At 40.7% G+C, this 27,565-nt stretch overlaps 1 protein-coding gene across 10 annotated transcripts in view, besides 3 other annotated features; it reads left to right on the top strand.

The window, feature by feature from the left end:
• SORBS2 (sorbin and SH3 domain containing 2) overlaps positions 1-27,565 on the top strand; it is a 370,850-nt gene that overhangs the window by 108,721 nt on the left and 234,564 nt on the right. The window lies entirely within an intron of this gene.
• Positions 7,537-8,736: an enhancer, noted in NCBI's record as "CDK7 strongly-dependent group 2 enhancer chr4:186760070-186761269 (GRCh37/hg19 assembly coordinates)". NCBI's record gives its function as "activates an origin of replication core promoter dependent on BRD2, BRD4, P300/CBP, MED14 and CDK7 cofactors, with strong dependence on CDK7, by STARR-seq in HCT116 cells {active_cell/tissue: HCT116}" and the evidence as "EXISTENCE:reporter gene assay evidence [ECO:0000049][PMID:35650434]".
• Positions 7,809-8,480: an enhancer, noted in NCBI's record as "OCT4-NANOG-H3K27ac hESC enhancer chr4:186760326-186760997 (GRCh37/hg19 assembly coordinates)". NCBI's record gives its function as "activates a minimal SCP1, AML or CMV promoter by ChIP-STARR-seq in primed H9 embryonic stem cells {active_cell/tissue: H9 hESC(primed)}" and the evidence as "EXISTENCE:reporter gene assay evidence [ECO:0000049][PMID:30033119]".
• Positions 25,940-26,767: an enhancer, noted in NCBI's record as "H3K4me1 hESC enhancer chr4:186742039-186742866 (GRCh37/hg19 assembly coordinates)". NCBI's record gives its function as "activates a minimal SCP1, AML or CMV promoter by ChIP-STARR-seq in naive H9 embryonic stem cells {active_cell/tissue: H9 hESC(naive)}" and the evidence as "EXISTENCE:reporter gene assay evidence [ECO:0000049][PMID:30033119]".

Genomic DNA, 27,565 nt, shown 5'->3' with positions numbered 1-27,565 from the left:
TCTACAGCAGCTCTGGGAAGGGCAACAGGGTGGAGTGGAATTTCACACATGCCATATGTCGCTTACTCATCCTGCGAGATCTGGCTTGGACTTGCTGCAGTTGGGAGGAGAGGAGGATGTATGTCTGGATGATACAATCACAGGGACCCCAGATCCTGCGAGGATGGATTCTGAGCTATAATTGTTCACCATTGACGCATGTGTTCAGCTTGATTTTCTGGTCCTGGCATTTCGGCACTCAGCAGTCACCTCCACACTGGGCAGAGTGAGAATTTGGTGCACCAATCCAAAAGATACTGAAGGCATTTTAAAGGGAAACCAATTCAGTCCCTTTTCTCCAATCCCAAAGAAAGTGTCCACTCACTAGGGAGAAATAACAAAATTAGATTTTGATTTCTTATCTTAGAACAGATTGTTTCCTACTAATTGAGGCTCAAACACAAAGTGGTAAAAAGTCCACTGGAGCAGACTTACATTATGATGGGAATACTCTCAGACTCTATCAACACTGAATCTGTTATTAAACACAAGATAAGTGTAAGTTTTGGGGACAGAAGTTATCTAATTGTTTTATCCTTTGCCATGTTTTATTATAAAAAATCTTGTCTCTATCGCCACTCCCGCCACACCAAAGAATCCCCAGGGAGCATGGCCCCAGTGAGTCATGTTTTTATTCTGGATATCCTCATCTACCAAAGGTGTTATCATTCTTTCCTTTCCCTAGTTTTTATTTGACAAATAGGGATTTTTCTCTAAATTTAAATATCATAAATAAAATTTTCAAACACAAATGCCCTTGGAGATTCTGAATCATAACTCCATTCTCCCCCTTCCCCCTCTCTCCCAAACTTTCCCTGGTTTGAATTACAAGCCTAGGGGGAAAGAAATAACAGTTTAACTTGATTAATGGAGCACTCAGCAGAAGCACCCGCTTCCTATTCTCTGCCTTGCTTTCTACCTCATTGAATAAATGTACGCTATTATCTCAGTCTCGCTTCAGGCTTTACCAGTGAAATTGTTCCCAATAGGATTGCCAAAGCCCTTTTGGTTAGCCTTAACCAAGTGATAGTCTCAGTCATGTTTTAAAGTCAGGTTTATGAAAGTATAATTTATATACAGTATTCACCTTTTTTAGGAGTACAGATAAATGAATTTTGAAAAATGTATCAAATTACAGAACTTCCAACACATCAATGTGTAGAAAATTTTCATCTCTTCAAAAAGGGTCCTTGGCCCCATTCAGTTGATTTTCTTTCTGACCCCAGCCCCTGGCAAACCCTGATCTGCTTTCTGTCCCTATAGTTTTATTTTTCCAGAATGTATTATTAGTGGAAACATGCAATACTTAGTCTTTTGGGTCTGGCTTCTTTCACTGGCATGATGCATTTGAGAGGCGTCCATTTGTTGCAACTATCAGTGGCCTTTTCCTTTTTGTTGCTGAGTAACATTCTGTTGTATGGATGTACCATCGTTTCTGTATCCACTCTCCAGGTGATGGACATTTGTGTTGTTTCCAGGTTTTAGTGACCATGAATATAGCCTCTATAAATATTCACTTTCAGGTTTTTGTATGAACATATGTTTTCATTTCTCTTGGATAAATGCCAAGGAGTTGGGACTGCCAGGTGGCATGAAGTTTATGTTTAACAGTATCAGAAACGATCTTCCAAGGAGTCTGTACTATTTTGCATCACCACTAGCAGTGAATGAGAGCTCCTGTTGCTCCACATCCTTGTCAGCATTTGATATTGTCAGATTTTGTTTTGTTTATATTTTGGCCAGTTGAAAGGTGTGTAATAGTTTTCATTTGCATTTTCCTAATGATTAATGGTACTGAGCATTTATCATGTCCATATTTAGATCTGCATCTCCTCTTTGGTTAAAGTACCTGTTCAAAACTTTTGCCTATTTTTTTGCTTCTTTTTTTAAATTGGGTTGTTTGTTTTATTATTGTTGAGTTGTGTACATTCTTTATATATTCTGTATACCAGCCTATTATCAGATACATATTTTGTGAATATTTTCTCCCTTTCTGTGGTTTCCCTTTTATTTAGCAGAGTATTTTAACTGTGATCAAGTCCAGTGTGTTAATTTTTCCTTTTATGGCTTGTGCAATTTGTGTGCAATATAAAGCATTTTTTCTAACCCAAATTTACAAAGACTTTCTCCTTTGTTTTCTTCTATAAGGTTTACAGATTTTTTTATTGTTGCAAAATGCACATAATATTAAAATTACCATTTTAACCACTTTAAAGTATGTAATTCAGTGATATTCACTACCTTCACAATATTGCAAAACCAACATCACTATCTACTTCAAAAACATTTTCATGGCCAGGCACAGTGGCTCACACCTGTAACACCAGCACTTTGGGAGGCCAAGGTGGGAGGATCGCTTGAGCCGGGAAGTTGGAGACCAACCTGGGCAACCTCGTGGGACTCTGTCTCTACAAAAAATTAAAAATAAAAAATTAGCTGGGGGGTGGTGGTGTCCACTAGTAGTCCCAGGTACTAGGGGGGCTGAGGTGGGAGAATCATTTGAGCCCAGGAGGATGAGGCTGCAGTGAGTCATGATCACCCTGCTGCACTCCAGCCTGGGTGACAGAGCAAGACCCTGTCCAAAAAAAAAAAAAAGCATTTTCATCATCCCTAAAAACCCCATACCCACTAAGCAGCCAATCCCCATTCTTCTCTTTCGCCAGCCCCAGGCAGGCACTAATTTACTTCCTGCCTGTATGGATTTGCCTCTTCTGAGTGTTTCGTATAAATGGAATGGAATCGTGTTACATATAGTCTTTCGTGTCTCACTCTTTCATTTAGCATAAGTTCTCAAGGTTTCTACATCTTGGAGCATGTATCAGTACTTCATTCCCTTTTATGGCTTAATAATATTTCAATGTATGAATATGCCATCTTTTCTTTATTCATTCATTAATTGGTGGGCATTTGGTTTGTTTCTACCTTTTGGCTCTTGTAAATAATGCCGCTGTGAGCATCGGTGTACAAGTTTTGTTTGAAGATCTGTGTTCACTTTTTACACAGGAGTAGAATTTCTGGGTCATATGACAATTCTGTGTTTAATTTATTGTGGAATCATGAAACTGTTTTCCACAGTAGCTGTACCGTTTCACATCCCTCCAGCCGTATATGAGTATTCAAGTTTCTTCACATCCTTAGCAACATCTGTTATTTTCTGGTTTTGCTGTTGTTGTTGTTATTGTCATTCTCATGGGTGTGAAGTGCTCTCTTATTGTGGGTGTGTTTTGCATTTCACTGGTGACCAACGCTGTTGGGCATCTTTTCGTGTGTCTGCCGATCATTCGCATATCCTCTTTAGAGAAATGTCTCTTTGAGCCCTTTGCCCATTTTTGAATTGGGTTCTTTGTCTTTCTGTTGTTAGCTTTATAGTTTTGAGTTTTACATTTAGCTCTATGACCCATTCCAAGTTAATCTTTTTGTATAGGGTCCAGTGTATTTATCAGTGTTCATTTTTACACATATGGTTCCAGTCTTTGTTTAGCAAGACTGTCCTTTCTCCATTGAATTGCCTTAGCACTTGTGTTGAAGGTGTGGGTTCTGTTCTCTCCCACTGATCTATGTGAACTGCCTTCCTCCAAGGAAGGGATGTGTTATCTCATATACTCATAGAGTGTACAGTCTTCAACACTGTAGGTTTACAGTGAGGTCATGAAATCAGGTAGGTAAGGCCTCCAACTTTGTCTTCTTTCTCAACATTGCTTAGGCTATTCTACTTTCTTTGATTTTTCATACAAATTTAGAATAAAATTTCCCATTTCAAAAAATAGCTTGCTGGGATTTTGATGGAAATTGAATTTTAATTGGGATTTATTGCACTGAATCTAAGATCTATTTGGAGAGAATGGATATCTTAACACAACTGAGTTTTCTCATCCATGAACATGATATATCTCTCCATCTTTCAGGTCTTACTTAGTTTCATTAATAATTTATAGTTATAACTAATAATTTATAGTTTTCAGCATACAAAGCTTACATGTATCTTGTTAGATTTATTTCTAAGTATTTTTTCAGTGCTACTGCAAATGGTATTGCTTATTAATCTTCATTTTCTATTGTTTATTTCTACCATATGGAATTATTGATTTTTCTATATTTACTTATATCCTGCAATCTTGTTAAGCTCCTTTATTAATTCTAGTAGCTTGTTTGCATATCTTTGAGATTTTCTATGTAGACAATTTTGTCATCTATGAATAAAAACCGTTTTATTTCTCTTTTATTCTATATATATCCTGGGTTTTTTAAATCTAATTGCTACAGCTAGAACCTCCAATACAATAATGAATAGGAATGGTGAAAGTGGATACCTTTTCCTTGTTCCCAATCTCAGTCCTGTGTTAACTGCTGTTTTGCTTTCTCTTAGTGAAACTACCTAGACTTTTGTGACCCCACACTCTCCGGATTCCCATTGAATCATCCTCCTTTTGTGGGGGCCTTTTCCTGCAGCTGCCTTTCAGGGTAGTTGTTCTACAAAGTCTTCCATAACTCAGTGCTCTGTTCTTTCTACCCACACTCCCTGTGTTATTGCATATACTCATGGTGTACCCAGTGTCACCCATGTACGGACTCCTAATTCCATATTCAGTCCCAGACCTTCTCCAGCAGTCTTATTTATCTAATTGCCTGCCAGCTGCCTGTCCTAGAAGCATGTTAAATTTAATTTTTTTTTTTTTTTTTTTAGACAGTCTTTCTCTGTCGCCAGGCTGGAGTACAGTGGTGTGATCTTGGCTCACTGCAACCTCCGCCTCCTGGGCCCAAGCGATTCCCTTGCCTCAGCCTCCTGAGTAGCTGGTACTACAGGCATATACTACCATGCCTGGCTAATTTTTTGTATTTTAGTAGAGACAGGGTTTCACCATGTTGGCCAAAATGGTCTCGATCTCCTGAACTCATGATCCGCCTACCTTGGCCTCCCAGAGTGCTGGGATTACAGGCATGGGCCACTGCACCCGGCCAAATTTAATATTTTTAATATTTACTCCATCACTCCTACCTTCTCTGTTTGCTTCCATGGGCTGGTTTCTCTAGTGACTATTTTTCAACACAAATCTGATCAAGTTGCCCCTTAGCCCCAGTGTACCTTTTAATGTACGATATAACTTTCATGGGGTGTCCAGTCTTCAACACTGTAGGTTTACAGTAAGGTCATGAGATCAGGTAGGTAACTCCTTACCATGGCTAAGAAGGCCTGCATGCTCTGACTTTTAGTTAACTCTCAGGTCTCATCTTCTGACACTTTCCTTCTTGTCCACTCTGCTCTAGTCACATGGACCTCCAGTCTCTTTCTTGAGCCAACCAAGTTTGTTCTCACTTTAAACCAAAAGTAGATCTTTACATGACTAGAGCTTTTTGGACACTTAGGTCATTTAGGCTCACATGTGGCCTCCTTAGTAAGATTTTCTCTATTCAGTCTAAGAGGACCACTCTACCACCTACACATCGTCTTTCATATGGTCTTCTGTCATTTTATTCCTAACATTATCATCTGAAATGACATTATTTAATTATTAGTTTCTTATATCACTTATTTCTCCTTCTAGGAGATAAGCTCCTTGAGGGCAGGAGCATTGGTCATTTTGATAGGAGTCCCTGTGTCTGGTGCCTATAGCACTCCCTGAGCACGGAGTAGATGTTCAGTAAATCATGAATGCTGAATGAATGAATTAATTTTCTAATTCACCGTCCACCTGGTCACCTAAGCCAGAAACCTGGGTATCAGTTGATTCCAACAGTGTTTGGTCAGTAAAATAGAAAGCACTGTAGATATTTTAAGCAAGAAAGAATTTAGTACAGAGAACTGGGAAATTATAGAATCAATTAAAAGCCTTAAAGAAGCAAAAGTCAGAGAAGCCACTGCTAGTCTTTCGGGAAACAAATTGCAGGAATTCTGAGGGACTTTTACCAAAGGTCTCACCTGTTTACAGCACCAGAGATTCTCAGGAGATTGTGCAGAAGCTCCTGGCAAAACCTCATTTGCCATCTGCCAAAACCCATGCACCTACTCACTGTTGCTGCAAAATAATAAGTTTCCTTTTCTTCTGTCTTCCGCATCTTTCTTGGGGACCTCCATGGGAGGAACCTAACATGAGATCCTGCTGGCTAGTAAGTGAATAATCTGGGGCTCTGGCACCTTCAATACAGAGGAGAGTATAGAAGGGAAGAAAGGTATTGAAACGCTGACAATCCAGCCCAGGAACTCACCCACCTCTAATACACGAGCAAGTGCAATCGATTTTACCCAACATTTCCCTCAAATATCTGAATGTCTCACCTCCACTAATCTCCCCCCAACCTTTGCCTCCACTTAGGCCCTCATTGTTTTTGGCAACAACTAACTGTTGTGCTTTTCTTCAGCCTTGTTTTCTTAAAATAATCTACCAGAAGTACTCCTCTGACTGTGTTATTACCCAGCTTAGAGTCATCAATGCTTGTCATCACCCACAAGGGGAGTTCAGGTTCCATAGCTGAGGGAGAAAGGCCTGGCCTTTAACATCTTTGTTCTTCCGCAATGCCGCACGCCACACATTTGTTGACCTCTTTGCTTTGCTTCGTCTCACCCACGTTGCCTTCTAAGCTTCCTGCCCTCTTCCACCTGACTTGCTTATTTTTTAAGACATGGCTCAGGTGCTACCTGCCCCAGGACACTTTGCTTTACGCCCTCTCCCTCCCCTCCCTCTTGCCCCTCTGCTAACACCCCCACCCAAACTGAGTTTGGAGCATCTCTCCTTGGTGATTCTGTTCTGATGATATGAGTCAGTCTATGGGTCTGCCTCCCTCCTAGTGAGTGAACATCTTCCAGAGCTGGATTCTGTTGCCTTCATCTCGGTATCAAGTGCCTGCAATACAAAGCACAGAGCAATGGTTGAATGAATGAATAAATACATGCACACAGAAGTACAATGTGCATTAGATCCCCCTAATTATTTTTTAAAGGCTGGGTGTGAGAAAGAAATCGAATTGTATTTGAAAGAGGGCCAGTACTTCACAGGTCTCAGAGATCATCGCTGGTATTTTTTTTTCCAAGAGTCACACATCTTGTTTCCTCCTGCCTAGTTGGATTTGATAGAAGAAGAAGATTGGAATGGAACTAAAAGGGTTTTGAACCACTCAGATATTCTACAGACAGGTTTAGAGGAAATTAGTAGCAGGGTCATGGATCAGCTATGCAAGATACTAGCATAGTTATTCATCTGAATAGGAGCAGTCGGCCACACAAGAGAGATGCTTATGAAAGAACCACACCAAAATCCAGCTAGATTCTATCTTGTATGAATGAGAGATATTTTTGGTCTGCAAACAAGCAGGCATTCCATACCTTGGCATTCTCTTTGACCCATTTGTGTGAGGTTGCCTTTCTCAGAGCATTTCCATAACACGGGAAAATTGACTTTTGTTTGTTTACCCAAACAATATTCTTAAAATGAACAACCCCTGTTCATCCACAAATGACCGTGGAATCTCGCTATCACTCTTTGCTACTGGTGACCTCTGCCAGTCCTCCCAGGCTGTAGAGCTGTATTTACACCTCACAGAGAAGCACTGGGGTGAAACTCTGCGTGGAGCTGTGCTGCTCAGAGATGCTCCTCTCCTCTCTTTCCACTTCTTTCTTCCACAGGGTAAGACTCATGCTGAGAGGCTGACGATATCCTACATCGTAAGCACATGGCAGGATGCTTTATGTCTCCACTCTGCTTACTGGAGCCCTCTCAGTTCTGTTCTGAGGCCAGTGTGCCCTGTGTTTATGACTCCATCCCTCTAAGGATCCTTCTTTAAACAGGCCAAACATCTAACGCTGCTACAATTTACCTAGGGTTTCTTGTTCCACCTCACCCAGACCCAAAGCACTGAATATTTCAGTTTGTACAAACTGCCTTTATTTTATGGTGGTTCAGCTTTTAATTTACATTTTAGAGTTTTATACGTATGTCCTTTATTGTACAGGACTCAGAAGACAGTCCCATCGAAAAACAACTCTTTACAGCACTATAAACAAATTACAAGCACATAAAGCTTGGAGTACATTCCTCTCTTAAGCTCTCCCCAGGCCTCCTCCCTAGGGAGCGCTCAGTGTGCTCCGGCTTGTTCTTGGGAACTCTGACTGCAGAATACGTGGATGTTGTAAATGCAGCAGAAAAGATCCCTTGCAGCCCTCCTACTGGACCGACCCCTGGGGCCAGGGTCATTGTCTTCAGAACTGCAGTAAGGAAATGAGTCCTGGGTAAAATAGCCTGAGGAATCCCAGCGCAGTGTTCTCAAACTGTTTCAGTCCTGGTCTAATGACTCATTTGGAAATTCTTAGAATCTTACTCATCTTCTCCATGCCCTCTTTCTCTGCTCCAAGCCAGCGGCTGAGGTTAAGTCAGAGGCTTGTATCCAAGTTACCCCGAGTGTTTGCCATTTGCATTTGTCTTCTGACTTAGCTCCCCTCTGCAAGTTTAAAATTCTTTTTCACAATGGGGAGCATAAGTCCCACCGTTACTGGATCTTTCTGAGGACAGACTGCATGTTATGAGAAAGAGCAGTGTTCTCCCCTTCCTTGCAAAATAACATCGTGCAGTGTTGGGGCCTTGAAGAGTCAGTGCCTCAAAGGCAGGGTGAGAAAGAGATGTCCAGTTTATGCCCCATGGAAAGCAGCGGTGCCTGCTGGAAGGACAAAGAAACAACATAGAAATAAACACCGTGAGAACCCTGTGGTGGCTGAGCACACGTCTTTGTGAGCATACGTGATACCTTCTGGTGATTCTGACCCTCTTGGCTGCTATCAGAGACAGGAGGTTCCATGTCAAAGTGGTGAGAGTGAAATCTGGATTGTTACTGTTACTTAACTAGGACTTAACTGGTTTCCCTAGGACAGAGAGCCCGAGGCAGAGGCAAAGCTTACATGCTAATACTGTATGCGAGGAGATAGCGGACATGCCATCCCAGGATGCAAGAGTGAAAGGAGACTGAAGACAAGGCAGGAAAAAAGGCAAAGCAAATGCAAGGTGACACATCACTGAGCTGCCCTTAGTTTCTCAAGAGCTTTTGGGCGGCTGTTGTGTCACATGGGAGTGAGGCCCTAATGGAACTACTGCATCTCGAATCTGCTGGCTCTGCCCTCTGTGTCCTCTCTGAGGGCCAGTGTCAATTCCCCCTCTCCTCCAGGCTCTCCTCCGTGAGCCCCCCAGACAGCCCTTGGGGCAACCAGCGCATCCGTGAGTTGAGGAGGGTGGAGAATTTCCAGGGTTCTGACGCCCCTGGCATGATGGTGGCCTGCCCAAGCCCCCAGGGGAGCTAGAGGCAACCCACAGCGTGAGGAGATGAGATGGCAGAGGCTGCGGCCATGGCTTCACAGCCATGGGAACAGAGCAAGTTATAGCTAGGCCCACTGCAGCCGGGAAGCTGGGCAGGAAGCTAAGGCCTGTGGGCGGGGCCAGCCAGGCCTGGGTGCAGGTAGTATGGGTCCCGCACACCCTGCTGGGGAGATGCAAGGGACTCTGGCTACAACCAGGTGCTGTAAATTATAAACAACACAAACTTAGAAAAGCATCATCTGTTGGAATTAGTGTCAAATGGGAAATGTTATAAAAGAAGCTGTAGAACTTCAGTAGGGACACAGACTTTCAGACCAGAGGAAATGGAAGGCTGCTAGAGACTTTCTCCACATTCAAAGAAAAGCAAACAAACAAAAAACTTCAAGTGGAAGAGGTGGGACTGGCCCAAGCAGCCCTACAAAAGAATCCAGAATCTTTTTTGTTCTCAAAGCAATGTGGGTTTTTTTTTTTTCTATTAAAGAAATTATGCCTTTGGGGATAGTCTGTATAGTCTTAGAGTAATTTAAATCATTTTTCTTTTGAGATTCTTTTCATATTTATGATTTTAATACTTTATGCTGATTAACTACATAGAGATTATAGGCTTTGCAAAAGGAATATCTCAGCCTGTCACAGTTACATTTGTATGAAACGACCTCACTGCAGGAATGTTAACAATTGTATTAGAGGTTCCGTTTCTAAGTTTAAATAGGAATAATCTACCTCAACCTATTCAGTTAGAACAAAAGCCACTTCCGCAAAGCAATAAGCATGTATCTTCTTCCAACCTAGTTGCATTTGATTAACGATTGCATGAGAACCTTTCTCATACTTAGCTTTTCACCTGGGGTTTTTGAAATGCTTAAGAAAAAAACTATTAAATACAAGCATTTTAAAGCTAATAGTTTCCCTGTTTCTAAAATGTGAAAAACACTAGAAGCTGAAATTCAGCAGTTTCAAAAACATATTTCAGGTTCAGTTTTCCCAGGACAGCTGCAATGCTTGCTGGAAAGTCAATGACATTGCAACTTGTAGGCAGTTCTGGCCTTTCATCTTTTTTTTTTCTAGGGACAAATAGTTGATAGGATCTGTTTGATGTAAAATTTAAAAATCCATATAAACTTGGCAATTTTCCGGAGCACATTTGATAGGAGCAAGTTTACTTAGATTTATGTAATTTTGTTTCTGGTGCGTATAAAGATTAGAACTGAATGTGAGGTCCTATGCAGAGGCAAGAGGTATAATGTGAATAATATAAAGTCTCTCTTCAAAACCCTTCACTCATAATTAAATATCCATAAGTGAAGGGCAGTAAGTAGATGTTCAAGTGCTGTGTGAACAGAAACACCATACAACTTTAGAATTCGAGGCAGCTTAGCTATCTTTGTGAACTGAGGACTCTGGAGTCAAGAGGTCATGGGTGACTCTCCCTAGATCACAGAGCCAGTTTTTAGCAAAAATGCACCTTTTGTTACACTCCAAGTTCTCGCATAATTTCTTTGTCTCTACACTTTTAAGTGTTAAAATTCAAAAGAACATTTTTCTATAAATAATGTGGACAAGAGGTATTTGATCCTTGGGTGTGACTGACATTATAGTTACACAGTGTAGTGTCAAGCTCTGGTGCCTCATGAGCTGGGTTTGAATAGAGACCCCGCCACTTTCTATTTGTGTGACCTTGGCAAATTATGAAACTTTCTGAGGCTCGGTGTGACACGGGGATAAAATTCATGCCCAATTCATAGGTTCATTGTGAAAAAGAAATGAGCGATTTCCCTAAAGCACTTGGTGGTGTGTACATTATAATCACTTAGTAAATATTGTTTGTTGTTATTTAAATTGCTTTTACTAAACTATTATGAAAGACTTTTCTGCTGTTTGTCCTTCTAATCACTATTGTCTTTGTCTGTGTCCCACCTGACCTCTCCTATAAACTGACCTTTTATCTGTCTACTCTGATGAGAGCAATGGCAGAGTAGCTGCTGCTTTGAGCAGAAAGTAAAGCCGTGTGGAAGGGTACAGTGAGACAGTGTGACAGGGAAAGCTTTCAGTTAGCCTCAGCAGGTCAGTATGATGCTCACACATTCACTTCCCAACTGCTTCTGTAAAACGCTCCATGATTCTTCTTTTTTAAGCAAATGAGAAATCGGTTCTTGATCTGAGTCCCAAGTAGACATCTGTAGCTCTTCACCTAAACCTTTTAATCAGCACCACACTGGAGCTCTGGGTCATCGTTTATTACATTCGTATTTGGGTTCCCCAGCAATATTATTATAAATAATAATATTTATTAAGTGAATATTCACTTATTTAATAATAAGTGATATTTAATAATAAATGAATATTTACATTCACTATTTTGGGAACAAGAAGAGCAGCAATAAGCTGGATTATCATGTCAACAGGCTTGATATTCTCCTTCACATCTGTAATAGACGGTTTATGGGACTTCTTCAGGGAAACAGGCCGGGTTGAGCCTCCTCAGACACTCCTCATCTTGGGAAAGTAAGTCTCCCACCTTCAAGGGAGGTTTTCAAAACTATGAGTGTTGGCTCCAGTCCCATCATGTTGGTTGCTGAGAGGAGATAAACTGGCTAAAGGTTTCCTAATACTTAGTCCCCAATAGCTGAACACTGCTGGTGCAAAAAAAAAAAAAAAAAAAAATCCTTTCAAAATTGGCAAAAATACAAACAACAAAATTTAAAATCTTTCCATCGTGATCACCTTTTTTGAACAGTGCGCAAATGAATTGTCACTGGAATTTTTACTTACGTAAGCACATTCTAATGTTCTGTTGACAAATTATTTTTCCATTGTAATCTAGATTCCTCAGGGGAAAAAATGTCATAAGTTCACCTGAATGTGAGATAATATGGTTTCATTCCATCTTCCACTAAACAAGACAATAAAATTTTGAACACCGTTAGAATTGAAATGTTCTTTAATTTAGTTTCTGTGATTAAGCAACATTTTAAATTTTAAATTCTATGGTTTACTTCCTTTCTCATAAAATGATTAAAAATTGTTTTTGGAGACTGTATTAGTTCATTCTTGCATTGCTATAAAGAAATACCTGAGGATGGGTAATTTATCAAGAAAAGAGGTTTAATTGGCTCACAGTTCCACAGGCTGTACAGGAAGTGTGGAAGAATCTGCTTCTGCGGAGGCTTCAGGAAGCTTTTACTCATGGCGGAAGGCAAAGGGAGAGCAGGTATCTTACAGGCAGGAGCAAGACTTAGGGAGAGATTGGGGGGAGCTGCCGCACACTTTTAAATAACCAGATCTCCAGGGAACTCACTCACTTTCACGAGAACAGCAAGGGGAAGTCCACCTCTGGTGATCCAGTCACCTCCCACCAGTCCCACCTCTAACACGGGGGATTACAATTCAACATGAGATTTGGGTGGCAACACACAGATCCAAGCCATATCAGAAACGCTTTTTGGTTATTTTATAACTTTGCATGTTAGGTGCATTTTATGACTTATAAACATCTTTGGAATATGCTTTGAAAAACAATAGTGTAGGGGCTAGCAAAACGTGATTATTTTTTATTATGTACAAATCAAATCAAATGTATACTGATATTCTATAATATTAATTAAAAATCACTTTTGAGTTTTAAAATGTATAAGGCCCAACCTAGGAATTAATTATTTTAAATAGAAATATTTACATTCACTATTTTGGAAACAAGAAGAGTAGTTCTCATTTCATGATCTAGTTGCTCCTCTATACGGCTGGTAGAAGGGTATACGTGGAGCACTGATTACATTCTGCCTCATTTGAGAACAATTTAACTATTGTTTTCTTCTCTACATGAATGTAAACTTTTCAAGAGTAGGTAGGGTATATTTTTTTTTGCTCTTAAGCACATGATAGAAACGTGTACATGCTAACAATACACCATAAAGTATGTGTCTTATCTAATTAATGTGTCCTAAGTGTTCATATGGTTTGGATCTGTCCCAGCCCAAATCTCATCTTGAATTGTAATCCTCAATGTTGGAGGTGGAGCCTGGTGGGAGGTAATTGGCTCACGGGGGCGGATTCTATGGTTTAACAAGATCCTTTGCCTTCCACCATGAGTGTAGGTTGTCTGAATCCTCCCCAGAAGCAGATGCCAGCATCATGCTTCCTGTACAGCCTGTGGAACCACAAGCCAATTAAACCTCTCTACAGCAGCACGAGAATTGACTAATACAGGTGTATATATTTTATACTTTGTGTTTACTTATGAAGCATACATTTGAAGGCTGTTTAAACATTATTTTATCATCTGGATATCTATTAATTGGCATTTCCAATGTCATAATTTATGTTCATACTGCCCATTGGTTAATTCTAGAACTCTTTGTGGAGCATATGTTATGTTCCAGGAATCAGACTCCTGGAGCTGTCAGTCCAATGAGGAAGATAGACACTATTTATATGACGCAAAAACATCAAGTGCTTTTGAATGCAATATATGAAACGAATTATTTCCACTATGATTGTAGTGTTGCATTTTATTACATTTTCATTTTTGTATTAACTGAAATAAAGATTAGTTGAGAATGAATATGAAATATTAATTGAAAACTAAACATTAAATTTAATTGAATTAAATGTCCTGTGTAAATCCTTATAAAACCCTATGAATTTGATACTATAATTCCCATTTTTCATATGGAGAAATATGATGAATCCCATAGTTATGTAATTTTAAAAACTGATAATCCTTTTGTATTTTGTGTATTGTAGTAATCTATTATCCAAAGTATTTCTTTTTCAAACCATTCCATTTAAAAAGTGTGTTTAAGGCATATATTAATTACATAGTGTAGTAGCACTAATTGCTTAACTGGTTTCATTTGAAAGGATTTAATTAGGCAAACTTAAAAGCATAGAAGCCACAGTATTACAAGGTGATAATCCCAGGAGCCATGTACATGATACCATGTAATTAATTTGAATTACCAGGTTCTGGAATGCTTAAGCTTTGCTGGACTTTTAGAAACAAAGGGGACAGTGACCTCCCATGAAAGGAATGCTGTGGATAAGCTGATCAGTTACTTATCAGCCCTGCTATTGTAGCTGTGCCAACCAGACATGTTCACATTACTTGGACACAATGTGCATGGTAGTTATAGTCAGATGGGGTGGTACAGATAAAATCATGACTTCATTTTCCATGGATAACTTATCTTTTGTTCTTTGGAATTAGCCATTTTAAGACCACATATGAAGAAAATGTGATAACAAAAATGTTCCAACTATGTACAGTAGTGCTTTTAATACTCTGTAACAGCTAGATAGGAAAGACCTTAGAATATCAAAACTGCTTTAGGTTTCTGCCATCACTAGAAGAAAAGAATTTTATCAAGGATGTAAACATAAGTTTCAAAAAATATTAGACCTCAGCATTACCCCTGAATTCGGACTAATCATGAATGATAGTTTTATCTTGTTCAGAAACGGTCTCCAACCTATGCTGTGAAAGTAGGTTACTGTTCTCTCAAAGTCCTTTATGGGGAAGATACATATACACTTTTTTCCACAGGAGAACTTTGAGCAAATTGAATTATTACAAGGAAGGTTTCATAGACTGCTGGTAACCAAATGTGCTTTTAAATAAATCTTCAGAAAAAAGTTACAACTGTGCACATCCTAGACCAATTTTAAGCTTGGGATGAGAGTAACTTTAAGATATAAGAAACTGAAATTAAGAAAAGGAATAATTCTGTTTCATCAGCTATCACTGGATTCTGCTTTAACCTATAATAACCAAAACAAATTGTGACCAAACCACGTCCATGGTGACCAAATTCTCCCATACTCTCATTTGACACAAATCAAAATCATTGACTTCTAAGTCAAAATGTGGAGTTTATTTTTAACCAGCCAAGATAGATAGAAGTAAAGTAAGTAAACATAATCTTATTATAGTTGGTCAGGGTAAATTTTTGATTTAAGGCTATTTAATACTCTAAGGCTTTTAAGCAAAGGTAGAATCTTAAAATCTAAGAAAATAATACAATCTTTTTTATAGATATGTAACAGCATCAGATGGGGTTTTTACATAAAGTTAGATGATTTTAAATCTTAACTAGTGCCTAGAAAAGATTCCAGACAAGGGAATGTCTACCTATAACATGATTCAGCTTAATTTAGGGAAACCATCTATCATGGCATAAGTGCAAAGACTGAAAGCTGCTGCCTTACCAAGTGTTAATATTCAAAGAACTAATATTCGTAAGTTTCAAATATATTGAAATTGCTTCTCTTCAATAAAAGGATTGATCATATTAAAACCAGAGAACACAATACTGGTAATACTATTTAACATTTATTGAACAGTTAGTATGTGCCAGACACTATGCTAAGCCCTTTGAAGGAGTTACTTCATTTAATCTTTCACCATTTTAATAAGGTGCTAGTATTAGTTCCACTTTAGAGATGACAGCATTGAGGTCTTGTTGACTTCACAGTTTTGCCTCAGTTCAGTCCTATTTGGAAAAATAGGAAATGTATTTTTTAAAGCACTGGTAACATCTCAGAGTGTAGTGGAAAGAATAGAACTTTAGGAGTCAAGAGAACTGTCCTTCAGTCTCCACTGTAAGCTCCCTGAGGGAAAGGACTCTGTCTTGGTTACCACTCCATGGCCAACACCCGTCCACATACCTGCGGCATAATAAAAACTTAGTAACCCTTCATGGAATGCCGGACTCACTGAAGGAGAGCAGGTGCTGCTTACTCAATGTGTGATCTGGCCAGGTGATTTAACCCCTCAGGGCCCTATCCATTTGTTATTCCTTTCCTATTCTAACATCTTCCTTGTTCCTAAAAATGATTTGAGGAAACAAATAAAGGATTCAGCTGCACAAGACCTTTAAAGTAAAGATAAAAGGTCAAGAGTGATGTACTTGAAGAAGGGAGAAAACTATTTCCAAAGTCAAGGCTAAGAATAGCTGCCTCGTCTGGGCATGGAATTTAGACTGAAAGTTGCTGCAGCAACAGAGCCTCTGTGGATTGAAGCCACCCCACCTACCCGCTCTTCTTCTGCCACATTTGGCCAGAGCAATCTGCTCCTGTAGGAGTCTTGGAGGAAAGAAGAGAAGAGCCCAAAATATCCCTTTTGCTGTCTAATTATTTTTAATGACTAAATCATCCCAGTTCTAGATGACCATGTTGGGTCCATTTTAGAGTGTACGATCAAGTGTACGATCAAAAGTTCAAATGGCAGAAAAACCTTGAGAAGATAAAAGGCTACTTTCTCTAGTGAAATCTGAAACACCGTGTTGAATGGAGGAATTAGAATAGCGCCCAAATAAGGAAGAGTTATAAAGAGCAGGTCTAAAAAAATAAAAAAGAACCAAGTCACAGCAAACCCTAAGTACCCATATAGTAGCACAAGTTAGCTCTGGGCCTTTCTAGCAGAATGGCTACTGGAAACAACAGAGGCCGTGAGAAAAATAGTAGAAAAATGTCCAGCCACCCTCACACAAACCCAGCTTAAGGTGATGGCTAACCGCCCTCAGGAGGGTGTTTGTTTTGGGTTCAGACAGGGCAATTTGATAAGAAAAGAATCTTAGCCAAATGGTGAGAAAGGTAAATAATTAACCATGTTACTTCAACAAACAGCACCAACCCAAGACATTTGGGTTACACTTGAAAAAAGAAGCAATGGAACTAGCAAGTCTCTATCCTGAGAAAATGTTCTTGATCCTTTGGCCATGAGCTTTTACTTTCCCCGAAGAAGCCACTCCCTTTCTTAATTTGGTTGCACTTCAGAGATCAAAAGGGGGCCTCTTCCAACACACAAAAGATATGCTCCTACTTCTTCAGCGTTTATGATGATATTTGTTCAGCTGCTTCCTTCCATAACCATTTTCTATTTGCAGACTCAAAATCAGATAGTGGGTGATTCAAAGAGCTAGGTGGCAAAAATGTGCTGACCCACCTCACAGCACCTATGTGTGCTGGGTTTCAGACCTCTATATGGTCATCTTGCAAATCCATTCATTGGGAAAATTCCAATAGCTTAGTGGCTCATTCTCCAAACTATGATTTGAGAGCATCTAGAGGGCCAACCAGAATGTGCATTTTCTCACTATTTTCCTAAGCACCATTCAATGTGCTACATCTAGGTTAATAATAGTAATCAGGGAAATCAAAGAAAAAAATGTGAAGAAGTCACCGTTTGACTTGGAAAAATCACCAGTACAAATGTATAATCAAATGGCATGCGATTACAACTGTGCCTCTTAACACTATATCATACCTGGGGCCTGGAACTCTTGGGAAAATTATAGTGGAAATTTAAATTTTTAATTTAATTAATATATAGAGAATGCAGGAGTGTTAGGTATCCTTCCCATACTCTTCTTTCTCCTAATTCAGTAAAGTCATTTGAGCTGAAGATTTAAATCTGAAAAATCCAATTATTTATTTTGAGCCATGCATTTTTGGTAGCACTAAAGAAGTTGGGTAGAGAAATTAGCAACCATGGGTTGTATAGAGCAGATGGCTGGAATTAAGAATTTATGAAAAAATATATTGTGACATTATGAAATAATTTTTCATGGATGTTTTAGCTTGATGTGTAAGTACCGAGTAGGTGTTCCCATTTAATAAATAATGACTATGTGCCAGAAATTAAGAGCAAAACTTAAAAGAAAACTCATTCTTCTACCTTCTGGAGAGATGCTCACTCTGCCTCATTTATTCCTTTAATGTCATCTCTTGGTTTGTGTGTCTGTGTGTCTAGTGGGAACGGGGATGGGGATGGGAATAACAGAGCTTTTCTCTCTCTGTCTCATTCTTTCTCTCTTTTCTACTTTCTATTGTTCTGGCCAATATTTCTGTTCACTTTGTGTGTATGTAATCACATTAATGGTACTGAAAAAAAATCCTGAAAAAAGATTAGTATACACCAAGATCTCAATAGCTGGAATCTGCATTTCACACAGATCTCATAGATACTATGCTACTGTTCAAAAAAGCCAGCTGCATTAGTACAAGGATAGGGAAGATATGGCTTAAAAACAGAGCTTGATTTGCCAACCACATCACACCGTTTACCCATGGAGCTGAGAGTCCAGTATTTTAATATTAGACCACATGTATAGAGGGGCCCAACAGCAAGAGTATGATGATTGCCCCATCCTGTTTTACATGGATTAGAAAAAACTTGGAGCAATCTTCGCAATTGAAGAGGAAAAGAAGATATTCCAAGGATTGAGGCCAGGTTTTGGCTTTGAAAAGGAACAAGTTTTGGAAACTGAGCACATTTCAAAAAAAGCGCAGTTCCAAAATATGTATGTGTCACATATGGAGGATGGATTAAATCTGATCTGTGTTGTCCCATAACATAGCAATGGGACCAATAATGGTAAAAGCTGTGAGAAGGCAGATTCCAGCCACACTTGGAGAAGTCTCTGGAAAAGAACAGGATGCTTGAAACTGTAGTTGCCTCCACCACAGGGGATGGCCCATCTTGGAGTGTGGCTGGATAGTGACTTGAATCGCCTGACCTGCAAAGCCCTTTTCCACCCTGGGAATCTATCATTCAATAAAAGGAATGGCAGTAGAGGGGCAATTGATGTGGGGAGGAGGGATGTTTGATATGGAATTGATGTACAGTGTCTGCCACTTGGGACATTTAGGATCTCGTGTTGCTGTGATCGGTGGGCGAGCCATGGTTCCCTGCCTTCCCTGAGGTTAAGCTCTAATATTTTTAATTTTGTGCTACCTGTCAGGGAAACTCTGTCTTTTCTTTCTTTGTTGTATTATAGAAACGAAATGACCAGGAGCCTTCAAGGATTTCTTGAAGGCCATTTCAAGCCCATGATAATGATGATGATGATAATGATGATTTTAGTGGATGCTACAATCCCTCATCTCTCCCTTTCAGAACTAAGGTGTCCACTCACCCAGCTCCCAGAGTGTGCATTGCTGAGGGCTCACAAGTGAGTCTGTCTCCAAGAATGGCCTCCTCTGGTTCTGCGTCTCCTAGTGTGGGCAGCCTGCAGGCAGTGGGTGGATGCAGGGCTCCCAAGGTCCAGGCTCCTTGTCTTCCTTTGGGGCAACTAGAAGGTGTTATCTCAGCACCATAGCATCCTGTGGCCTCTGCTGAAGATTTATCAAAGTTTACTTTCTCCCTTTGTCCAATTTTTCCTCTCCTGCTCCCTTACAGATATGATAACTAAGGACACATCCCCAAAGCCCCTTCAGTAAATCCCCTCCTTACCGTGTTTTTAGAGAACAAACCTAATGCAGAGGATGATGATGGTGATGATGGTGATGAGATGATGATGATGGTGACGATGATGATGATGGTGATGATGATGATGATGGTGATGAGATGATGATGATGGTGACGATGATGATGATGATGATGGTGATGATGGTGATGATGATGATGATGGTATGATGATGATGGTGACGCTGATGATGGTGACGATGATGATGATGGTGACGCTGATGATGGTGACGATGATGATGATGATGGTGACGGTGATGATGGTGATGATGACGATGATGGTGACGATGATGATGGTGATGGTGATGATGATGGTGATGATGGTGATGATGGTGATGATGATGGTGATGATGGTGATGGTGATGATGATGGTGATGATGATGATGGTGGTGATGATGATGGTGGTGATGATGATGATGATGATGACAATGATGATGATGATGATGATGATGATGATGATGGTGATGGTGATGATGATGATGATGATGATGATGATGATGATGATGATGATGATGATGATGATGATGATGATGATGATGATGATGATGATGATGATGATGATGATGATGATGATGATGATGATGATGATGATGATGATGATGATGATGATGATGATGATGATGATGATGATGATGATGGTGATGATGATGATGGTGATGATGATGATGATGATGATGATGATGATGATGATGATGATGATGATGATGATGATGATGATGATGATGATGATGATGATGATGATGATGATGATGGTGATGATGGTGATGATGGTGATGATGATGATGGTGATGATGATGGTGATGATGGTGATGATGGTGATGATGATGGTGGTGATGGTGATGATGATGATGGTGATGATGGTGATGATGGTGATGATGATGATGATGGTGATTCTGATGATGGTGATGATGGTGATGATGATGATGGCAATGGTGATGATGATGATGATGGTGATGATGATGGCGATGATGGTGATGATGATGGTGATGATGGTGATGATGATGGTGATGATGATGATGGTGATGGTGGTGATGATGGTGGTGATGGTGATGATGATGATGACGTAGTCAGGGGTGGGGTACAGTGGTAGCAGTGGAGAAGGAAAACCACTGCATGTCACTTGCATTGTCCTTTATCTCACAAGTAAAAAGATTCATTTGATCCTCATAATAGTTTGTGAGTGGGCAGATGCTTAAATCACTCCCAATCTACAAATAAAAGAACCGAGGGACATAAAGTCAGGAATTTGCTCATGGTCACATAATTAGGGATCAATTTTATAGTAAATCCTGTCTTCTGATTCCCATTTTACTGTTATTTCACCTGACTACAGTGCCCTATACATCACAGAAGTCAGGAAAAACATTTGTTGAATAAATTAGTGTGATTTCATTGGCCTCTTATCCTTCCATTTTTTTCCTACTGACCCAGTGAATTAGGTGAAAAAAGAGAAAAAACAGTATATATTGATGGTCCTGATTTTGCAAGGTAATCATAATTTCACACATTGTGAAGTGTGTCTTGCAGTACATTCGCATATCCTCAGTAGCTCACAGGACCAACTTGTTCTGTTTAGAGACTAGGATGACTTGTTTATGAATAATGCACAGGGCAAAGAAAAAAGAAAAGATTTATAAGAAAACTCCAGAAAGATTTCCATGACATGCTGATAGGCTCTGCTCAGGTCCTGGATTTGTGGTGATCGTAGACCAGGGTAGCTTGAAGAACAGGTAGTAGTGGTCGATGAGCATAGGCACCTCAGCTAGGTGAGGGTGCCTGAGGGGCCACTCTGAGTGAAAACATTTCCACCAAGTCCTCAATATGAAGAAAAACTGTGGAGAAAATCCCCCTACTTCTGCAGAGCACATGACCTCTGAGGGATATTGCTTATGATATAAATGCATTGATGTGGCAAAATGAATTTTAAAATATTTTGTCTGAGTCCACATTTCATGAGGTGTCGCTGATTAAAATGTGGCTGACTGAAACGATGCTTCTCCACTTAGATTTTGCTTGAATGGAGTTCTTGTTTGGCTTGGTAAGCCATGGACTTTAAATGCTTTCAGGCCAGCTTGTTTAACCGCAGAAAGACTTCCTGGAGTGACCTGGGATGTTTCACTTTGTAGGAGTTTCAGGTGAAGATAGTCTATAGCCACCGAGTGAGGAAGTCTTGAGCCAGCTAGGTCATCGCAACCGAGAAAATCAAAACCATTCTTCTTTTCTTCACAGTGGACTTAGGCCCAATGTAAAGAACATCTGGAAACAAAAATTATTTCATTAACCTCAGGAGTGACTCTGTAGTTAGATGTTCAAGTGGTATTGCTGCTAATAAAGTAATCTAGCCTCTAGATCATGATAATGTTTTCTCCCCTCCCACAGGCCTGTGCACAGGACCTGAGAACAACAAAAAATATAATACCAGTATTCTGAGATACAGAAACTGCAACAAAAGTGATCAAAATGATTTATCCTAGATCAATGGCAAAAAGAAAAATAACAGAAATGCTGGGAACATCACCATTTCCTTCTGATCGACTTTCAGGAATCTGATCCAAATAAAACAAACAGGAGTTTCTACATTTACAGACAATTCATTAAAACAGTGCTGAAGTAAGAAATTCTGCATAGTATTAAAATCAGGTGATTCTTTAACCTTGGAAGTCATACATTTTTTAAGCCTATTTTCTCACCTGTCAAATAAAAATAATTCCTGTTTGGCAGGTTTTCTATAAGGAAGAGATTTAATATTTCTAAAACTTGTAGCTAGTGCCTGGCACATGGTAATCTGCTAATAAATTACATTGACTGTTATTGCACTGTTTTGAAATTATAAATGATACTCAGTACAGTAAAAAAAAAAACAAAAAACAGAACAAAATGAACAAATAAAGATATTCCCCATGTGCCTAATAATTCTCTGAGATTTTAGGCCTTTGAAAGCTGCAGTAACTGCTTTAGATTACTGGTGGTCTGAAGCTGCTACTAGGACCTGACCTATACCCAGGGGAGGGTGCAGAATCTCGGAGAGCCTGAATTAAGAAGCAGTGCCTGTATTTGGAGATGCAATGAAATCCCAGGTGTTCCTCTCAGAAACTGATGGCTGAAGAGAACCTGGAAGCCCCCTGATCAATCTCAGAAACCATGTGTAGGGATCAGCCCGCCTGCCACCCGTGTGGGGCCAGGATGCACTTTGGCATGAGAGTGTGGGTTGGGAGATGTTACCCTGGAAGATTCTTCTAAAAAGAGCAATCAGTCTAGAGGAGATTTGGTAGAATCTTTTCAACATATCACACCTATCCCTTTTTGTTGTTGATTCAATTTTATAATGGTAGATTCACTCTAAATCTAGCAGAGGAGTCTTTCTGCCAATTCAGTAAAAAGAAAAAAAAAAGCATCCAGAGATGCAGTTTAATTGATCTTTTCCACCAGCATCCTGGGAATTCCTCGATGTATGAATTGAGTTCAGTTGAGTTGTCCCTGAGTTGGTTTTTCACAGACCCAACTGCATAGGGAACAACAGCTTTTTTCCCAGAAAGGATTATAGCTGTAACACCATAACTGTTATGGGTTGAATTGTGTCCCCTCAAAAGATACTTTGAAGTCCTAACCCCAGGACTTGTGAATGCGACTTTATTTGGAAATAGGGTCATTGCAGATGTAACAAGGCAAGATGGGGTCATAGGGATTAAGGTGGGCCCTCATTCAATGACTCCTGTCCTTATAAGAAAAGAGAAATCTGTACACAGACACACACAGGGAAGATGTGTGTGCAGATGGAGGCAGAGATTGGGGTTACACTGCCACAAGCCAGGTCAGGAAACACCAAGATTGCTGGCAGCAGCCAGGAGTAGCGAGAGGCAAGGAAAGATCCTCCCTGGAGCCTTCAGAGAGAGGATGGGGCTGCCCACACCTCATCTGCTGACTTCTGGCCTCCAGTACTGTGAGAAAAATGTCTGTTGTTTGAAGCCACCCGGTTTGGGGTACTTTGCTACGACACCTCCAGGGAGCAAATGCAGTAACCATGGCCATTTTGATACAAAAAAATGAGGACCCTGAGAGTTAAGTAGGCTGCCCAAGATGACCTAACTTGTAAGAGGTATTCCTACCCTAAGATACGGTATCAGCTGCTATCTTTAAGGTGACTTCCCTTAGTAGCTTCACGAATTTCTGAGATCCAATCAGCGGGCTTCTCTGCTTGGCCTTTTTATCGAACCGCAGACAAACCAGCCTGACTTGTTGATTTAAAATGTTCTATTTCATGCATGCACGGCCTTGAAAAAGACCACAGAAAAATTACACATGATGCCCAATTTATTCTGTTCTTCTTTCCTCTGACTGTGATGTGTGACTAATAACACTTTTTTTCCTGTCTCGTGGAAATTGAGAAGTTTCATAAAACAAGTCTCCATCTTCTCACTGAATTTTTTTTAATATTCATCAAAGCTTCCTCCACAGAACATATCAGGAAAACTCAAATCTTTCTCTGACTTTTCATAAAGTCAGTTTACTATTGCTATTTTTAATAACCATTTTCTTTCAGAAAATGTGTCAATTTACTAAAGAATATACAAATAAACAAAAGAAAATTTATACATAACTCAATCCCTCGTTATTAAACATTGTTATTGTTGAGTGTACCTCCTGTCTTTTTCCTATGACTATATATCCAAAATTTTACTTACAAAAATGGAATGGTGCCACCATACATTTTTATGGGCTTATTGTTGTTGCTGTTTATTTAAAATATAATGTGAACATTGTAAACCAAAAAGCATCTGAGACAGGTCTCAATCAATTTAGAAGCTTATTTTGCCAAGGTTAAGGACATGCCTGAGAGACATGCCTTTCTCCAAAGATGATTTTGAGGACTTCGGTACATAAAGGGGAAAAGGAGGCCGGAGGGGAAAGAAGGAAGGTATGGTCACATCACTGAATCCACTTGTTGCAAGAGGAAAGGAGCGGGCAGGGGAAGAGTCAGTACGTATTCCTCTGACACTCCGTAAAACGGCACTTTACATAAGATAAGGCAAACACAGAGTAGCTACCTGTGGAGATATCAAACCTTCTATCTGTAGCTTCTGCTTAGGAACAAAAAGGAAAGGCAGCTTCCTGCATGACTCAGCTTTCAGCTTAATTTTTTCCTTTGGCATCGTGAATTGGGGTCTCGAGTTTTTATTTTCCTTTTCTTTCTTTAATGCCATAATTGGAAAATTCTAGCTTAAAATGTAAAATCTTTATACTCCCGGCGTTCTCAGAACTCTCAGAATGCTGAGCGCACTCTGAAACTCTAGGCAAGGGGCATGGTTTGCAGGATCTCCCAACCTTGTTTTGCCTGTGGTGCCCCTGTAGAATAGCCTGTCCTGGAACACCCTGTGGAAAATATCATTCTACATAATGACTTTTCAACACTGAGCATCTCCCATGGCGTGGCTGTGCCACAATCTACTTAGTTCCTGTTCATAGAAGTCAAGTTATTATCATTCATATACTTCTTGCATATTTTGTAAAGTTCCCATCGTATGTCTTTTCTAATATCCCAGAAACAATGTCTCTGCCAGGCACATGGCAGTTGTGTCAACCTTGTCATATGCATGTCTGTGAAAACTCACCGAATACAAAAAATACTGAAAACAGAAGCGGGCACTCACTTCAGAAGCGCTGCTGTGCCATCTCTCCTGATGTGCTGGGCAGCGTTTCCTCCTCTTTGGGGGTCTCAGGATCTTTTGGTTACCAACAAGGAATACAGAGCTCCAGGCCTGTTGGAACGGCATGTGGCCCGGGCCTCCATTTCCTCCACTTTTCCTGGTAATGCTGATGCACACCCAACTGGGGAAACACTAGATAAAGGATGACTGTCAAACCCTAAATAGTAATGTCATTCAGAAGAGCTGAATACTGCAGGTGAAGAATTTTAAGAATATTGTAGCCAACTAATTTCACTTCTTTCTTTTTTCTATACACAGAGTGATAGAGGATGAAATTTAATCTCAATACATTTGAAACATCTCTTCCAACAAATAATAATAAGACTCAAAAAATAACATCGTGTTACAATTTCATTGGCAGCAGTTTTTTTCCTTTTTGGTGGAACATAAAATAGTGGTATGTCTTATAATTTATGGGTCCTTCATTTTGTTGATATCTCCTCGGGCAACTAATATGAATACCTTGCACAGAAGAAGGTGTTCGAGACATGTTTCGTAATAATGACGACTAATAAAAGCGACCAAAACATCAAACCATGTGAATGACTCCATTAAAATGTATTTCCCAGGTAAATGGGTCCTAGAGCTCCTATTCTAAAATGCAAGAATGATCACATCTGTGTTCTTTTTATGACTCTATGGTGGGGCTGAGTGTGGTGGTGCACGCTTGTAATCCCAACACTTTGGGAGGCTGAGGCGGGCAGATCACCTGAGGTCAGGAGTTCGAGACCAGCCTGGTCAACATGGCGAAACCCCGTCTCTACTAAAAATACAAAAATTAGCTGGGTGTGGTGGCGGGCACCTGTAATCCCAGCTACTCGGGAGGCTGAGGCAGGAGAATCCCTTGAACCCAGGAGGTGGAGGTGGCAGTGAGCTGAGATGGAGCCACTGCACTGCAGCCTAGGAGACAGAGCGAGACTCCATCTCAAAAAAAGAAACAAACATAAAAACAACTCAATGGTGGCTTGTTATTTCCAGGAAGATAAGGCCCAAAGTTCTTACCACGAAAAACAAGGTGTTTGACAAACAGTGACCCTTCCACCCTGTCCACCTCGCCTCTGCTTCCTGCCACAACACAGGCTTCTGTGCCACTCCACCTCTCAGTCACAGCTGCCACTTCCTCCACCTGGAAGTCCTGTCCCTGGCTTCCCAGGCAGGCGAACTCCTCTTCAGCCACTTAGCTCGCGTGTGGCCCCTTGGTGAGGCGCGGGACGGTTCATTTGTTCCCTCTGCTCCCCTTGCCCCCCGGGCGTGGGCAAATCACACTGGAACATCACTATTTGTTCCCTCACGTTCACCCACCCAGAAGGTGGGCAGTGCTTTAGTAATCTGACCCTTGATGCGGATCTTCTTGGGTTAGTTCAGGTTGAAGAAATGTTTGTCGGATTGAATCAAGGGATGGCCTTAAGGGGCAGATAGAATTCATTCACCTGGGACCCATGTGGCCCAGTCATCCGTTCATTTGTTCATTCGGCATTTCTGTATCCTCCACAGCCCAGGTACGATACTGAGCCCTGGAAGCAGGGTCAAAACAAAACAGAAATGATCTCTGCCGTCCTGCAGTTTATAATCTCGCGGGACAGACAGAGATTAAGTAAATAAAAGCACAAGTAAATGTGCAGCGTGTGAAGTCCCGGGACTGCCAGGACTCTGCTACAGAACTCTTAAAGAACACGGTGCCTCTTTTCTTAAAGGGCCCTGTGTGTCGGCTGAGACGCTGTCTGCAAGGCCTCCGTAGGCCTTCCCCGCAGGCAAGGTGTCCGCGCACGCTGCTCCCTAGCCTCTGTCCCTGTCCCTCTGTGGTCTCAGCTCCCTACTCCTTCCCCAACTGCAGGACTTGGGCACACCATGCCCCTCCTCTGAAGGCCAGCCCTGCCCTGGCAGCCCCTTGGCATCTGGTCGATAAAGTCCCCACTAGATTCTATGAAAAGGTTAAATGAGGGAAAGAACTAGGGCTGCCGAGAGAATAGGAAACTGGTGCCAATTTAAATTAAAGGGGAGGGGAGGACATCAGCCGGGAAGGAAAGCAGGAGGCAGAAGCGAAAAGGCCTCCTGCTGGCTGTTCACACAGCGCCGCGCTGTCCAGGTGAGGTTGCAGGGAGCCTGCGATAAGTTCCCACTGATGACACTAGTGCCTGTTTCTCCTTTGCTGAAGCCCACGGCCCTCACCGTCTGGACCATTCTTTTGATGAACACATGCATTTGTGTTGCTTTTTGACGCTCTGGTCCACGTCCAGCTGATGTTTCCCACGGTATTGGAAGGTCCCGGAGGTCCGTGCCCA

Source organism: Homo sapiens, chromosome 4 (assembly GCF_000001405.40).
Source record: "Homo sapiens chromosome 4, GRCh38.p14 Primary Assembly".
Lineage (NCBI taxonomy): Eukaryota > Metazoa > Chordata > Mammalia > Primates > Hominidae > Homo > Homo sapiens.
The sequence above is the reverse complement of the archived record's forward strand: the minus strand, read 5'-3'. Positions and strand labels throughout refer to the sequence as shown.